At 42.8% G+C, this 15,455-nt stretch overlaps 1 protein-coding gene and 1 pseudogene across 4 annotated transcripts in view, besides 3 other annotated features; one reads left to right on the forward strand and one right to left on the reverse strand.

Moving 5' to 3' along the window:
- Positions 1-15,455, reverse strand: part of NCEH1 (neutral cholesterol ester hydrolase 1) — an 80,819-nt gene that overhangs the window by 46,488 nt on the left and 18,876 nt on the right. The window lies entirely within an intron of this gene.
- Positions 57-692: an enhancer, noted in NCBI's record as "OCT4-NANOG-H3K27ac-H3K4me1 hESC enhancer chr3:172394583-172395218 (GRCh37/hg19 assembly coordinates)". NCBI's record gives its function as "activates a minimal SCP1, AML or CMV promoter by ChIP-STARR-seq in primed H9 embryonic stem cells {active_cell/tissue: H9 hESC(primed)}" and the evidence as "EXISTENCE:reporter gene assay evidence [ECO:0000049][PMID:30033119]".
- Positions 693-1,328: an enhancer, noted in NCBI's record as "OCT4-NANOG-H3K27ac-H3K4me1 hESC enhancer chr3:172395219-172395854 (GRCh37/hg19 assembly coordinates)". NCBI's record gives its function as "activates a minimal SCP1, AML or CMV promoter by ChIP-STARR-seq in naive H9 embryonic stem cells {active_cell/tissue: H9 hESC(naive)}" and the evidence as "EXISTENCE:reporter gene assay evidence [ECO:0000049][PMID:30033119]".
- Positions 3,978-4,485, forward strand: NAP1L5P1 (NAP1L5 pseudogene 1; annotated as a pseudogene).
- Positions 12,671-13,170: an enhancer, noted in NCBI's record as "H3K4me1 hESC enhancer chr3:172407197-172407696 (GRCh37/hg19 assembly coordinates)". NCBI's record gives its function as "activates a minimal SCP1, AML or CMV promoter by ChIP-STARR-seq in naive H9 embryonic stem cells {active_cell/tissue: H9 hESC(naive)}" and the evidence as "EXISTENCE:reporter gene assay evidence [ECO:0000049][PMID:30033119]".

Here is a 15,455-nt window from a genome sequence, read left to right on the forward strand (position 1 = left end):
CAAGGACCCTGGTGTTCCTTCAGTCATCGGAGCCATGTCATTTACACCTCTCTTGGTCCTATTCTTGTCTCACTCTCCTTTGCCTTCCATACACACAGGCACATAAAAATGAGACTTTTAAAAAATTAAGTTTATACTCACATCTCTGTTACCTCCCACAACAATAACTAGATCGTGAGCTCCTTGGGAAAAAGTCTGGGTCTCGGGGGCCAAATTTTTTTCCAGTGCCTCATGTACACGAGGTCATAAACAAATGCCCTTCCTGAGGCTACCCAAGCTGCTAAAAGCCTCCCTTGATTGCCAGGACAGCAGCATTTGTTTTCATTTGAGTGTTCCAAGTAGCAGCTGACTAAAAGCAGCACAGAAGAATTAAACTTCCAAACAAAACCTCCCATATTCCCTTCTTTGATATGACAGTTCAGAGCTTGTCCACTCATGCCCTGTGACTTCACAAATGTGTTACACAGGACACTCCAGAAGTTGGGTTAATCTTCTGCTTTTTACAAAGTGCAGGAAGTGGCAAATTAGACATCATCTTTGAAAAAACTGTGTCTTAAATGGCACATAAACACAAAAGATACAAGGGGAATGATGTTTATAGACATCTACTGATATCTGAAGAGCCAGATTCAGATGATAATAAATTAAGTACCCTTTTGTACACATTCACATGGTGATCATGACAAGTTATTGCCTACTATTTAAAATACATAATAATAAACCATGTACTCTTTCAAATGGACCTTTACAGTTTATGACCTTTTGAACTTTCACTCATCTGAATGTCACAAGGACTTGTGATAGGAACAGCAGGTATTACACTCGTATGCTCATTTGGGGCTTAGAGAAGTTAAATGCTTTGCTCAGGATCATAAAGCCCTAAGTGACAAAGCAAGCTGTTGGTGGGGGAGGGGCGGGGGGGCGGCTCACGCCTGTAATCCCGGCACTTTGGGAGGCCGAGGCGGGCGGATCACGAGGTCAGGAGATTGAGACCATCCTGGCTAACACAGCGAAACCCCGTCTCTACTAAAAATACAAAAAATTAGCCAGGCGTGGTGGTGGGCACCTGTAGTCCCAGCTACTTGAGAGGCTGAGGCAGGAGAATGGCGTGAACCCGGGAGGCGGAGCCTGCAGTGAGCTGAGATCGTGCCACTGCACTCCAGCCTGGGCGACAGAGCGAGACTCCATCTCAAAAAATAAAAATAAAAAGCAAGCACCAGAACTCTCAAAAGTTCGACTGATCCTGACCCACTGCTCTGAATATTATCAATCAGAGCTGTGATTATTTTAAACACTGTCATTATTTTAAACGGAAACCTCTCCTATTACACAGGTTTTGCTGCACTTAAGATGAAAAGGTTTAAAAATCAGGGTAGGGAGGGGAAGTAGGTCATGAAATGTATCCCAAACTCTACCCCACTGGCAGCACATTCTCTCTGCCAGCTGATCTGCTGGGCTGGTTAGCAGGAGTTTTGCCTACATAAACAGTGTCTGAGAAAATTAGCATCAGTACAAAAGCCCAAGCCTTTACAATAAGGACAATTTCTACAGCCAGTAGTTTCAAGTTAATGCAGCTCAGTCCCTCCTTGGCCTGAGGCATTACAAGACAGGATGGCCTGCCAGTTCCAGAGGCAAGAAGGAAGTCACTGGCTGTTGGGACAGAATCTGGGAAAACACACAATGGAGTGTTTAAATCTACACCAGGAGCAGCTTCTTGTTTTAACGGATCCAAGACGTTGGAACAAGTCACTCCTTCCAAACGTTTAGTCTATTGAAAGATCCACAATTACAACAAACTTGTTTAATGTCTAACAAAGTCTCAATCAAAATATCTATACAACAATTGAGATCTTCCATATAATGATCTTCCTGAGGAGAATTTACAGATAAAATACTCCACCACAAGGAAAAGGGTCCATATTTATTTTTTACCTACTCATTCAAACATTTAAAAAATTTTTTAAACTATATGTATTAAATATACCTTAAAGGGGCACAACTGCAGGCTTCCTACATGCATATATTGTGTAGTGGTGAAGTCTGTGCACCCATCATCCACATAGTGAACACTGTACCAAACAGGTCATTTTTCAACCCTCACCCCCGTTTGAAATGCTTGTTCCCTGGTGCCATAAAGAAATAGCACTTGAACATAAATTTAATTTACTCAGCAAGGCCATTTTTACTTCCTGCAGAAAGGGTACACTTGCCAGAAGTTTTGCCACAAGAGTACACCGAACAAAGGAGGCAGGGTCATTTATAACCTGACGCATCCACCCTACTGCTGTGTCCGCTTTCCATTGGCTGGAATGGGACCTCACATTCTGTATTTGTCCCGACTGGCTAGCAACTTAGAACTTTTAAAAAGAGGCACAGGTACAGGAGAACAAAGGAAGGAGGAAGGAAGGAGGAAGTAACTTGTGGAATGCTGAGAAAGGTAAAAACACCTTTAAATAAGGAAGAGGGACAGCTATGACCTAATGCTTGCTTGGACCACTATAAGCATGCCAGGGAAAATATTCAGGCTAAATTGTCGGCTCTAAGAACATGAAGTGTATTGATTTCTTTATTACAGCTAGCAGATATTTAAGAATGTTAGCACAGGTCTTTGAATAAATTTTGCTTTTAAGAGAAGTTACTATTTATTCCTAATTAGACGGGGAGGAAAGTCTTTGAAGAGGAACCTCTACTTTACTTTTTACACCCCCCACCCCCGACCTTTTATAGTCTCCAATGTCTATAATATTCCATTCTGTATGTACCGCACACCCATCGTTTAGCTCCCACTAATTCATTCAGCAAACATTTGAGTGTTGCCCACCAGACACCTAAACACGTACAGATAATACAGGGGTTATTAACACATTATTTTAGCCAGATAGTAAGGGTAAAGGTTCTCGGTGGAAATTTTCCTATAATAAGAAACAACCCCTGAATCATCTCTTTTATAACAGAAAAGGTGGCTTAAAGGGCCAGGCCAGCAAGCTTTGATATGCAAATGCCAGCCATTAGAAACTGGCTTCACTCAATATAGTGATTCCCGCCATCTTCTCCTTGTCACCACTTGTGCCAAGTGTGATGGCCGCCTCCAGATAACACCATGTGTTCAAACATCATAGTGAACCACCTTTGCATTTTACAGGGCTAAGGTGGGAGGGCCAGGTTTTTTGCAGGCTACGTGAATGACACACCTGGTCAAACCAATCTCCTGGGTTTTAAGAACGAATTCTTTTCTTATCTCTATTATTATCATTACTCAATCAAGTTGTCCAGTCCAGGGCTACTCAAAGGATGGTCCAAAAACTGGCAGCATCTGAATGCAAATTATTGGGCCCTAACTCCGCGTACTGAGTTAGAACATCTGGGGCAGACCCAGGAGTTTCTCCAGGTGATTCTTTTACACATTAGAGTTCAGAAACATTGGCCTAGTCAATTAAAGGTGTGAAATAGACTCTCATTAGGCAGTGTTCAATCTTACCGATTTTCTTTGCCAAGGTAATGGGTGAGGCATCTTGGGGCAACACTGCTAAGAGGACGACTTGTAATGACGAAACTCAGGTAGAACATCTGAATGACAGCTGGTGGCCTCTCTCAGGCTTGAATGGTCCCTCCCCTGAACTCCTCCTCAAACTTCAAGACACCACCTCTGTGAAGCCCCCCTCCCCCTACTACTCACTTCTGGACAGACAACTGATCTCTTCATGCTCTCCATGTCAAGTGGAAGGTTTGGTTTGTGTGCAACTTCCCTGTAAACTTGCTGAGGACAGACACCAGGTTGGAGTCATCTCAGTATCCAGGCACCCAGGATGGTGGACAGCCATAAATGGATGGGGAGGAGCATGAGCCCTGCCCCAAATCTCAGGGGACCCATGAGGCATCTACTTTGATGTCACATGACAGCCTACTTTGGGGCCACCACTGGCGTCACAGGCCCCCCCCCCTCCATCAGCCACTCTACACCCTTGCACTTCTCTAACATGGCAGACTCAGGAAACAAGGAACCCGCAAAGTCAAGCCAGGTGGCTGTAGTGGGAGTCATAGATTAAGCGTCGCACTGAGTGGAGACTGACAGCACAGCAGAGTGGTCAGACAGCAGAGTGCCCTAGGCTGCGCAAAGAATGACTGACGCTTAAAAGTGACTAAGGACTTTATTGAGAGCCTGCCTAGCTTGGTGAAATGCCAAGTCCTTGCCCTCAAAAAGCTGTAGAAGAATCCCATGAAATTGAAGCCAAATGTGATGAGACATTTCAGCCTCTAGAAAAAAAAAAAAAAAAAGTATGACACCTATAAGCCTTTACTTGCCAAGATACGTGAACTCAGTGGCGAAATAGAGGGGATATGCATGAACCATAGAGGCTCAGGGCCCTGAGGACCAAGAGGTACCGGGGGAGAAGGAGGGGCAGGAAGAAGGGGATGAGGAAAAAGTGGAAGTGGAGTGACACGGTGAGAATTTCCCACTCTGAGATGTCTGATGACACCAAAAAATAAGAGGAGAGAGAAACTGAAGAGAAAGATCATGAAGAAAACAAAGAACTAAAGCGTTTAAAAAAAATACTGGCAAGCTTTAAAAAGACTCAGGTTTTTAATTAAAATACAATATAAACCTATTCTGATGTTCTTACACTAAAGTAAGGCAATCAGATCCTGTCTTGCCCCAAATTTTCAAATTTTCATTTTGAACACAATAAACGTATCCAAAGGTGAAAATAATGAATTTAACTTGAAACTATTATTTCATGATCTCTTCTGTGAGGATTGCAAATTGAGGCCTTTAAAGGATGTCAAGTAGATATGAAGAATGCCACTTCGAAACCCATACATCACACCATTACACTACACATGGAACACCCAAACCAAGACTGAACACATTCAGCCAGGTGCGTTGGCTCACACCTGTAATCCCAACACTGTGGGAGGCCAAGGCGGGAGCATCACTTGAGGTCAGGAGTTCGAGACCAGCCTGGCCAAGATGGTAAAACCCTGTCTCTAGTAAAAATACCAAAAAAAAAAAAAAAAAAAAATTAGCCAGGCATGATGGCGGATGCCTTTAATCCCAGCTACTCAGGATGCTGAGGCAGGAGAATCGCTTAAACCCATCCAGGAGGCAGAGGTTGTAGTGAGGTGAGATCACACCACTGCACTCCAGCCTGGGCGACAGAATGAGACTGTCTCAAAAAAAAAAAAGACTGAACAACACTCCTTTTTCAAAGAAAAATTATGCCCCATAACTGAGCAGATAAACATATTCCCACTGCTTAACTCTCAAATTCCTTTAGCCCTGAAATTTCCTAGGGCAGAAAAAGCAGAACACAAGGAAAACACTATTTTTCCTAACCCACACATCAGCTTTACATTTCAGGGAGTGCTGGAATAGACAGAGCCTGTGGTGGAGGCCATGGCACTACTGTTAATGACCTCAGGAAAACTGCCACTTCAAGTTCTGAAGAAGGTTCCGAGTTTAGGGAAACAACATGCTTGTGGAGGCCAAAGCAACTCCATCTTGGATGCTCATCTGTCATGTTGACTTATGATTAACCCTAGCCCTGGGAAGGCTTCTAAGACTTCCAGTTTATCTACTGTTTACTGTAAATCCTGCCCTGAGGTCAAAACAACCTTAAATTGACTGTACTTCAATTGTCCTACACATCTCTTCTGAATCACAAATACTCTTTCCCTGTTACGTATAAGTCCTGGGTCTGGGGGGGTAATGGTACAGGGATTCACCATCTCATCTTGCCACCACCTGAGACATTCCATTCATAGGTATCTATTAAATGATTAAATGGTTCTTTCTGAGAAACTGGATATGTCAGCCTCTTTCTTTGGTCCCTCAGCTTCCACGGACTTTGGGGGTAGGTTTGCACAGGCCTCCCCACTGCAGAACAATGCTTTAGTGAAGAAGGATGTATAACGTATGTTACCTTCAACACTCCTATTTATTATTTATAATCCCATGTTTAGGTGTTTTCTTAGTAGTGTCTATTTAGGAAAAACAAACAAAATGTGTAAGTATGAAATCATTGTAGGTAGCATTTGAGAAGTATTAATGCTCTGGAGGAGACACAGAATGCAGCAAATTCTCTAAAGCAGGTGCATCCCATGTTGTTATGTAGTTTGATCCTTGTGAATGCTTTGTCATGTAGCTTTTAGAACATTGCTGTGAAAATTATCAGAACTCTTCACTGAAACAAATGTTTGGGAAAAATATGTACTTGAAGAACAAGTGTGTGCCCCTGCCACCAGCTAAGAAGTAGAAAGGATTTAAGTTTGCTCGCATTAGCTATGCTTTCATTATTTTGCTATGTGAGACATATTCAATATAAGATAGTTGGCCAGATGCGGTGGCTTATGCCTGTAAACCCAGTGCTTTAAGAAGCGGAGGCAGGGCCGGGCGCGGTGGCTCACGCCTGTAATCCCAGCACTTTGGGAGGCCGAGGCGGGCGGATCACGAGGTCAGGAGATCGAGACCATCCCAGCTAAAACGGTGAAACCCCGTCTCTACTAAAAATACAAAAAATTAGCCAGGCGTAGTGGCGGGCGCCTGTAGTCCCAGCTACTTGGGAGGCTGAGGCAGGAGAATGGCGTGAACCCGGGAGGCGGAGCTTGCAGTGAGCCGAGATCCCGCCACTGCACTCCAGCCTGGGCGACAGAGCGAGACTCCGTCTCAAAAAAAAAAAAAAAAAAAAAAAAAAAGAAGCGGAGGCAGGAGAATCATTTGAGCCCAGGAGTTCAAGACAAGCCTGGGCAATATAGTGAGACCTCTGTCTCTACAAAAAAAATAGAATAAAATAAATTATCCAGGCATAGTGGCTCACACCCATAGTCCCAGCTACTCAGGAGGCTGAGATGGGAGGATTGCTTGAGACTGGAGGTTGAAGTTATAGTGAGCCGTAATCACGCCACCGCCCTCCAGGCTGAGTGACAGGGCGAGACCCTGTCTCAAAAAACAAAATAAAGTAGTTAAGGATCAATCAGACTTGGTAAAATATAAATAAAGGTGTGCATAATCAAATTTAACTGCTTGATAGGCTGGCATATAGCAGTTAAGAATTTTCAAGAAGAATACATCTAATGTAAAGACTCTTAGCTTCTTTGTAGGTTTTGAACTGCCTGTGACCCAGTGATCTGGTAAAGAAATATAAGCATAAGGTTATTTACCACAGTAGTGTTACTTAATATTATCAAACATTTTCCTCCTCTCATACCATGAATTCAGTTAACAAAGTGACTAAACATATTTTCTTTCTGGCAAAGCCTTGCTGAAAGTTGCCATTTTATCATCCTTTATAACTTCTAATGAATAAGATTATTAAATAAAAATGAATGAGGGAGTGACTATTTACATGGTCAATTGTTCTTTCTTTGAAGCTAGGCACCCATTCACGTAGGTCATGAGGAAAACTATGTATTCGTTCACTGCTTCACCCTAACACTTACAACCCCTCGCATACAGTGTGTTCAACACATGCTTGTGGAACAATGAATATGGAATAAAGGAATGTCCGTAATCACTTTTAAAAATATACATATATAGTGCTTGAGAAAGAAATACACTGGTGCTTCCCAAATATCTGAAACTATTTACTAAGACATGCATTAGTATGTCTTAGAGTTAAGAGATTACTAAAACTGATTTTACTTTAGCAAATACCCAAGAAGAAAACCTAACCTAGAAAATGGCACAAGACTGCAAACAAAAATTGGAAATGGCTCACTAAAGTGCAATTATCCAGGCACTGGATAATTACAAAAAACAACATAAACCTGGATGAAACAATCAAGTAAATCAATTCCTCAGGACAGTTAATAACTATGTCTGATGAGTTTAGTTGTGAAATTAAGCCACACTGACATAAGGAGCCAATCGAAAGGACACCATCTAGTCTATGTGCAATTCTGTAGAGAAATCCTAGTAGTTGGAATTCACAGTTTAGCAGAGTATCATTAAACACCCATCTTTTGGGCTGGGTGCAATGGCTCACACCTGTAATCCCAGCACTTTGGGAGGCAGAGGCGGGCGGATCACTTAAGGTCAGGAGTTTGACACCAGCCTGGCCAACATGGTGAAACCTCATTTCTACTAAAAATGCAAAAACTAGCCAGGCATGGTGGTGTGTGCCTGTAATCCCAGCTACTTGGGAGGCTGAGACAGGAGAACTGCAAGAGCCTGGGAGGTGAGGTTGCAGTGAGCCGAGACTGTGCCACTGCACTCCAGCCTGGGCGACTCAGCAAGACTCCATCCCCCACTCCCATCCCCAAAAAAAAGACCCATCTTTGGGCCAGGCCTAGCGGCTTACACTTTAATCCTAGCACTTTGGGAGGCCAAGGCGGGTGGACTGCCAGAGCTAAGTTTGAAACCAGCCTGGGCATCATGGTAAAACCCCATCTCTACTAAAAATACAAAAAGCTAGCTGGGTGTGGCAGGTACATGCCTGTGGTCCCAGCTACTTGGGAGGCTGAGATGGGAGGATGGCTTGAGCCTGGGAGGCAGAGGCTGCGGTGAGGACACCACTGCACTCCAGCCTGGGCAACAGAGTGAGACTCTATCTCAACAACAACAAAAAAGAGCCCATCTTCACTGGGCTCATAATGGGCTTCTCTTGACCTAATAATTCTCTCTAGTCTAGGTCTCAGCCTTCATTTCTTCATACATCTTTCTTCAATAAATCCCTTCCCTAAGGCTTCAATCTTAAATGGATGCAAATGAAGTCGTATAATTTTAAAACCCAAAGGGCCCACAAATACAGACTGTCTTCTTGGAAACTGATGCCCAGAGAGATGAGTGACAAGCTCTGAGTCACCCAGTTACAGACACGTTCAGACAAGAATCAGGGCAGCAGGTTTCTACTTCAAGATTCTTTCATTATATCTTGATTGAAAATAGTTCCAGTTTATCTCAATGCTTCTGCAACCCTAACTTTTTTTTTCTCTTCCCCTTCATCGACTTAACTTTATACTTATTTTGTTTTGATTTTTCTCCCACTCTTCTGTTCCATCTGTTCCCCTAGACCTAGAAGTAGAGCATCATTCTAAATCCTCACCACGTGCAACCTTGTTAGACAAGTACGACAACCAGATCTCTGACCTCTCTTTGACATCTCTGGCTTTCCAGGCTTTTGTAGCCTTTTTACCAACTTAGAATTTTAGAATGTCAGAGCTGGAAGGAAAACTACAGAGCAGCCTTTCCCAAACATTCTACAGAACAGCAGATGGAGGACACAACTTTGCAATGAGAGCAGGCTGAAGAGTTCTGAGATCTGTGATTCACTCAGCTCAGGAAATTGCTGCCCAGCAATTCTCCTCTCAGAGATTCACAATGCACGTCAGCTTTTGAAACACACTGACAAGTCCCAGCAGGCGGTGAGAAATTTACTTAACTCTGCTTAAACTTTAGTCTTTTCACAACTCTTCACATCCCTTGAGACTGCTTTGGGAAGGCCTTGCCTAGCCCCCTTGTTTTACAGATGAAGACTGAGTCCATCCTTGACATGAGTAACCAATGTCCTGCTCTATATATTGGGGCCAGGGCTCCAACCCAGCTGAGTCCCAGCCCAGAGCATCCTCTTGAAGTATTTCTCCTCTGCTGGATCCAGTTCTTTCCGGTCTTCCGCACACCAAATACCCAACACTTCACCTGGTACTACACATAGTGTATTCACATAGTGACTAGTGTTCACACAGTGTAAAAGATGTCCACATAGTGTGTATTTCTGTGGGGGACAGAAGGGTGGATGCTTGCTCTTATTTCAGCTTGATCTTACGTCCAATTGTATAGGACATAGGACTGTACTGATTTTGCTTGCATAAGTTCTATGTGATGCTCGATACTGGGATGTGGACATGCAAAGCCATCCCAATGATCTAAGAGGTTCCAAGGGACTAGAGGAATAAGCCCAGAGTATCCTGAAGGAGATTTGAGGTGAAGGCTCTTCACATGGGCATCCTAGGTTTTATGCAAAAGTGGCGGGTGATCCTGGGCCCTTCCAGAAATGTGGTAGTACATGCTAAACTTTCCGCACTTCCTTTGCATTTTCTCCTAACTTCATAACCAGCTTCCCGTTTTCTCACTTTTCCTATTGTCTTTCTCACACCAAGTTTTCCTAGTTGATTCCAGAGGCCTTCATGTGCCAGGAATCAAGGTCTCTTCCCCATTTTTTCTTGGGGGAGGGAGAGCTAGGAAGGACTAACATGTAGGAGTTTTAAGAAAGTGGAAAACATGCTTTGCCTAAAAAGAAGTGGGCTGGAAGTTACGCAAACAGCTTGCTGCTTTTCTGTTTGGGCATCTCCTGAACAACTGTACAGTTAACGGACAATAATGGTGAGAATTAAAGGGTGGGTGACAGAAGCTTTCACTGATGAGAGATAGCCTGTACTCCTTTAATCCAACCAAATAGGCCTACTTCCCAAACATGCAGCTTGGTTTTGTTGATGGTTTATTTTCTTCTCCTCTATCACCCATGCCACCCGCTTCTCTTGGCCCCTGCGTGATACTATTCTGACCCATTCTTCAAGGTACAGCTTCAATCTGAACCTTTGTAATACCATCCTGGCTCAGTTTTCACCCCTTGGAGTTCACAGCCTTGTACTGCCCATTTGAAAATCACCCATGTACTGACGGCCTCCTAACGTCTCTAGGCTTATGTTCCTGATTATTTTTGCTTGCTGCACAATATCTTTCATCTTCTCAAATAGATTCTGAATCTCTGAAGCACAGGAACCATTTGCAACACTTGTAAAAATGAAAGTAATTCAATAAATATTTATTACATGAAACATTAAATGAGCTTTCTGTAGAATATAGGTCATAAACTCATGTCTTCAAGGACCAGGGCAACTAATGGAAATGAGTAAAACAGGTGTAATATCAGGGAGTAGGGAGTCTTGTGGTAAACTAGAGAAACAATGCCCTCAGAAAGCAGCTGCTGCTCAGCCACAGGCGATTACATGACACAGAGATGCTGGCCTAGTGTTGCCAGATGGCAATTTTTCAAGAGAAGTAGAAAGCCCAGATTGTGTGAAATACCTGTAATTTTCGGTGTTGGCAATGAGTTAAAAAATGTTTAATATGCAATGTGGGCCAAAAATAACATGTGCAGGTCAGTCTCTGGCTGTCAAGCTGGCTGTTTGAAAGTTTGATCACATCGTTTCATACAAACAATAATATGCATAATTGACAGTGTTCTAGCCCCTAACCTGGACAACAAACAGAACCAAGGCATAAAATTAGAAATTTGATTGTTCAGTTTTATTTTGAATTTTAAATTATGTTAATGCATAGAAACAGTTTAATTAGAGAACAATGAAAATGGACATGGAGGCCGTGCACAGTGGCTCACGCCTGTAAACCCAGCACCTTGGGAGGCTGAGGCAGGTGGATCACCTGAGGTCAGGAGTTCGTGACCTGCCTGACCAACATGGTGAAACCCCGTCTCTACTAAAAACACAAAAATTAGCGTGGTGGTGGGTGCCTGTAATCCTGGCTAGTCAGGAGGCTGAGGCACAAGAATCGCTTGAATCTGGGAGGCGGAGGTTGCAGTGAGCCGAGATCACGTCACTGCACTCCAGCCTAGGCAACAAGAGCGAAACTCCACCTCAAAAAAAAAAAAAAAAAAAAAAGAAAATGGACATGGAGATTACGGAGACTCTAAAGGAATTTATTGGATCTTCTCAAGCTGACGCACTTGTTTCTTTTTAAGATTTCTTTTCCCTTCAAAACAGATTTTATTTTCCTTGATTTGAGTATAGTCTTGTCAGAGGTAATTATGGTCACTCTTGGGGGAAATAACAAAAGAAATGGAAGGATTAATTTTTCTGAGATCATTACTGGGTTGGAGTTAGAAGATTAAAGGAAAATAGATGAGATGATATCATATTTATATAAGATATGTATTTTTAATATCTTTATATGAAAGAAAGTCCAAGTGGCCTAAATGCTGTCCTCCTCACCCTTCACCAGGATAGCACTATCTACACTCAAATACCAGGAAGTAGGCTATTTATAACAGTGTTACGATAGGTGTCCAGTACTGTGCTAAGGGTCACAGGCAATGCTACAAGGTGTTGGCCCTTGTCCTTGGGGCTGACAGGTTAAACTCTTGGTGGTAACTTACAGACGCTCTGGACATGCAGGATTCTACAACCCAAGCAGGGGTGGAAGCTGACAATCCTCACATAAACTGAAAAACCAAAGCAACTTTCAGAGCACGTAAATGTCTTCACCTTTGCAAATGAGTTGGGAATTCACATATGCGATCTAATGTGGCTACCACTGACTAAACTTTTGTTTTGTTCTAAACAGCAGAACTGTTTTCAGAGACTTTGGTTTACTCCTTGACTACCCTTAGCGGGGACAAATGCTCCTTGCCTGAAGCTGAATTTGATTTCTGGAAAAGCCAAAGTTCTTCTAGGTAATAAGTTGTAGTAAAGCTGAGGATTTCATTTTGTTCATAACAAGCAAGACTATAAAGCAATAAGACCGATATTCACATGTACCTCATGAAATGACTTGGAGTAACTTTTTTTTTTTTTTTTTTTTTTTTGGGATGGAGCTTCGCTCTTGTTGCCCAGGCTGGACTGCAATGGCGTGATCTCAGCTCACCGCAACCTCCGCCTCCCGGGTTGAGGCAATTCTCCTGCCTCAGCCTCCCAAGTAGCTGGGACTACAAGCGCCCGCCTAATTTTTGTAGTTTTAGTAGAGACAGGGTTTTACCATATTGGCCAGGGTGGTCTCAAACTCCTGACCTCAGGTGATCTACCCGACTCGGCCTCCCAAAGTGCTGGGATTACAGGCATGAGCCACCACACCTGGCCCTTGTATTTCAAAATTAGCCAGGCGTGATGGCACGAGCCTGTAATCCCAGCTACTTGGGAGGCCGAGTCGGGTAGACCACCTGAGCGCCAGGAGGCGGAGATTGCAATGAGCTGAGATTGTACCACTGCACTCCAGCCTGGAGTGACAGCCTGGGTGACAGAGCCAAACTCCATCTCAAAATAAAAAAAAAAGCCCCTGTATTTCCCTTCTCAGGGTAGTATAGTAAAATTGGAAAGACTGAGAGTAAAATAGACCATTTTATAATCTCTTTGTAGCCACTTGCCAGCTGTATGAGGTGGGGGAAAATGTTTAACCCCTCAAGCATTTTTTTATTTTTTATTTTTTATTATTTTATTTATTTATTTTTTTTTTTTGAGACGGAGTCTCACTCTGTCGCCCAGGCTGGAGTGCAGTGGCACGATCTCGGCTCACTGCAAACTCCGCCTCCCGGGTTCACGCCATTCTCCTGCCTCAGCCTCCCAAGTAGCTGGGACTACAGGCGCCCGCCACCATGCCCGGCTAATTTTTTGTATTTTTAGTAGAGACGGGGTTTCACCATGTTAGCCAGGATGGTCTCAATCTCCTCACCTCGTGATCCACCCGCCTCGGCCTCCCAAAGTGCTGGGATTACAAGCGTGAGCCACCGCACCCAGCCAAGCATTTTTTTAAATGAACATTTCTTTAAGAATACAGAGTATGAACGCAGGAATTATGCTTGCTTACTGCTCTTTCCCCAGAATAGTGCTGGTGCAAAGTGATATGCAATAAATATTCATTGAAGGAATGAACAAGAATTTTAATGTCAACTCTTTTCAAAGAGATTCCAATTAAACAAGGTAACCATTTAAGCCACTGAAGTAACAAGTTAAAAAAATCGATTACAATTGTTCTGGAAAAGTGTGTAGCAAAATCAACATTCTTGCACATTGCTATTAGCCATATAAATTGGAAAATAACTTGGAAATATGTAATAGGACCTGCAAAAATATTTACAGCCTTTGATCTAGTAGTTCTACTTTTTAGGAATCTTCTGAGGGAAATCCTAAGAAACAGATTATACAATATGTCCACTGTAACATTATTTATGGTGGCAAGTAACTAAACAGTCTAAATTTTTGGTAATAGGAGAATAGTTAGGTTTAAAAATGACACAAGCTCTAATGCATCCATTACAAAAGATGGAAATAATATGCAGTAATTTGACAAATCCTTCTGTTAGAATTCTAATGTTAATAGTGCATATTCAACCTAACAAAAACAAAACATACACAAAAAGAAACAGTGGTTGTGTTAAGGTGAGATTATAGGTAATTTTTTTTTCTATTTTCCAAAATTTCTATAGCATGATTATCTACCTTTTATAATAAAATAATTCAGTTCTAATTTGCTAAAGAAATTATGCTTCTGTGGGGAAATTTTTAAAGCAGCTATGACATCCAGGGATTATGTAACTTAAACATTGTCTACTCCCTGACATCCACACACTGCCCAAACACCCTTTACCTACTCATATTCCTATATTTTGCTTCTTTGTACACACTTTGCTTACACAACTTGTCTGTCTTGTCTGGGCAGTAGATACTTTCTCCAAACATAGAGCGGGCTGGACTGTAGGATTCCATTTGTTACTGAAATTTCTTCTGCTTCCCCTCATGACCAAACCCCAGTCCATCCTTCAGTATCCATGTCAGACATCCCTTCCTCTATGGTGCCCTATCCAACTCATCCCTCAGACCATCACTCCTGCCTTTGTGCTCTCTAGTTTAAGCTTTTACTTTTAAAACTTGTTGCATTATCATTATGAGCTTCTAGATCTCTCCTTCATTTTTGTTCCCCTAGGTTTAGCATACACCTCTTACATAATTTGTATTCAATATAATTGTGAATATGAGTGACTTTCGGTCACTCATCAATCTATTCACTCACTCAGCAAATATGTGAGTGTTTACTTTGTGCCAGGTACTTTTAGGAGTTGTGCACACAGTGGGGAAGTCCACAGACAAGCCCCTCCCCTCCAGAGCTTTCAGCCAGGCAGTGGAGATGGAATTACTTAGGAGTAATTAAACAAATCCAGTGACAGGAAGAACTGGCAAATGAGGGTAAAGAAAGAACAGGGTGCTGGCCGGGCGCGGTGGCTCACGCCTGTAATCCCAGCACTTGGGGAGGCTGAGGCAGGCGGATCATGAGGTCAGGAGATCGAGACCATCCTGGCTAACATGGTGAAACTCCATCTCTACTAAAAATACAAAAATTAGCCGGGCGTGGTGGCAGCACCTGTAGTCTCATCTACTCGGGAGGCTGAGGCAGGAGAATGGTGTGAACCCGGGAGGCGGAGCTTGCAGTGAGCCGAGATCGTGCCACTGCACTCCAGCCTGGGCGACAGAGCAAGACTCCGTCTCAAAAAAAAAAAAAAAAAAAAAAGAAAGAAAGAAAGAAAGAAAGAACAGGGTGTAGTGAGAGAAGGTGAGAGGGAAACCAGACTGGGTAGTCAAAACAAGAGGTCACCTTCTCTAAGCATAGATCCACCCCTTTTGACAAACATTCAAGAAGCCTTTGTCTCCAATAAGGCATCATAGCTGCCAACAACTGCAGTGTTTGTTTCAAACTTTAAACAAAGAATGACCGTCTGAAGTAATACATTAGG

This window comes from Homo sapiens, chromosome 3 (assembly GCF_000001405.40).
Source record: "Homo sapiens chromosome 3, GRCh38.p14 Primary Assembly".
Lineage (NCBI taxonomy): Eukaryota > Metazoa > Chordata > Mammalia > Primates > Hominidae > Homo > Homo sapiens.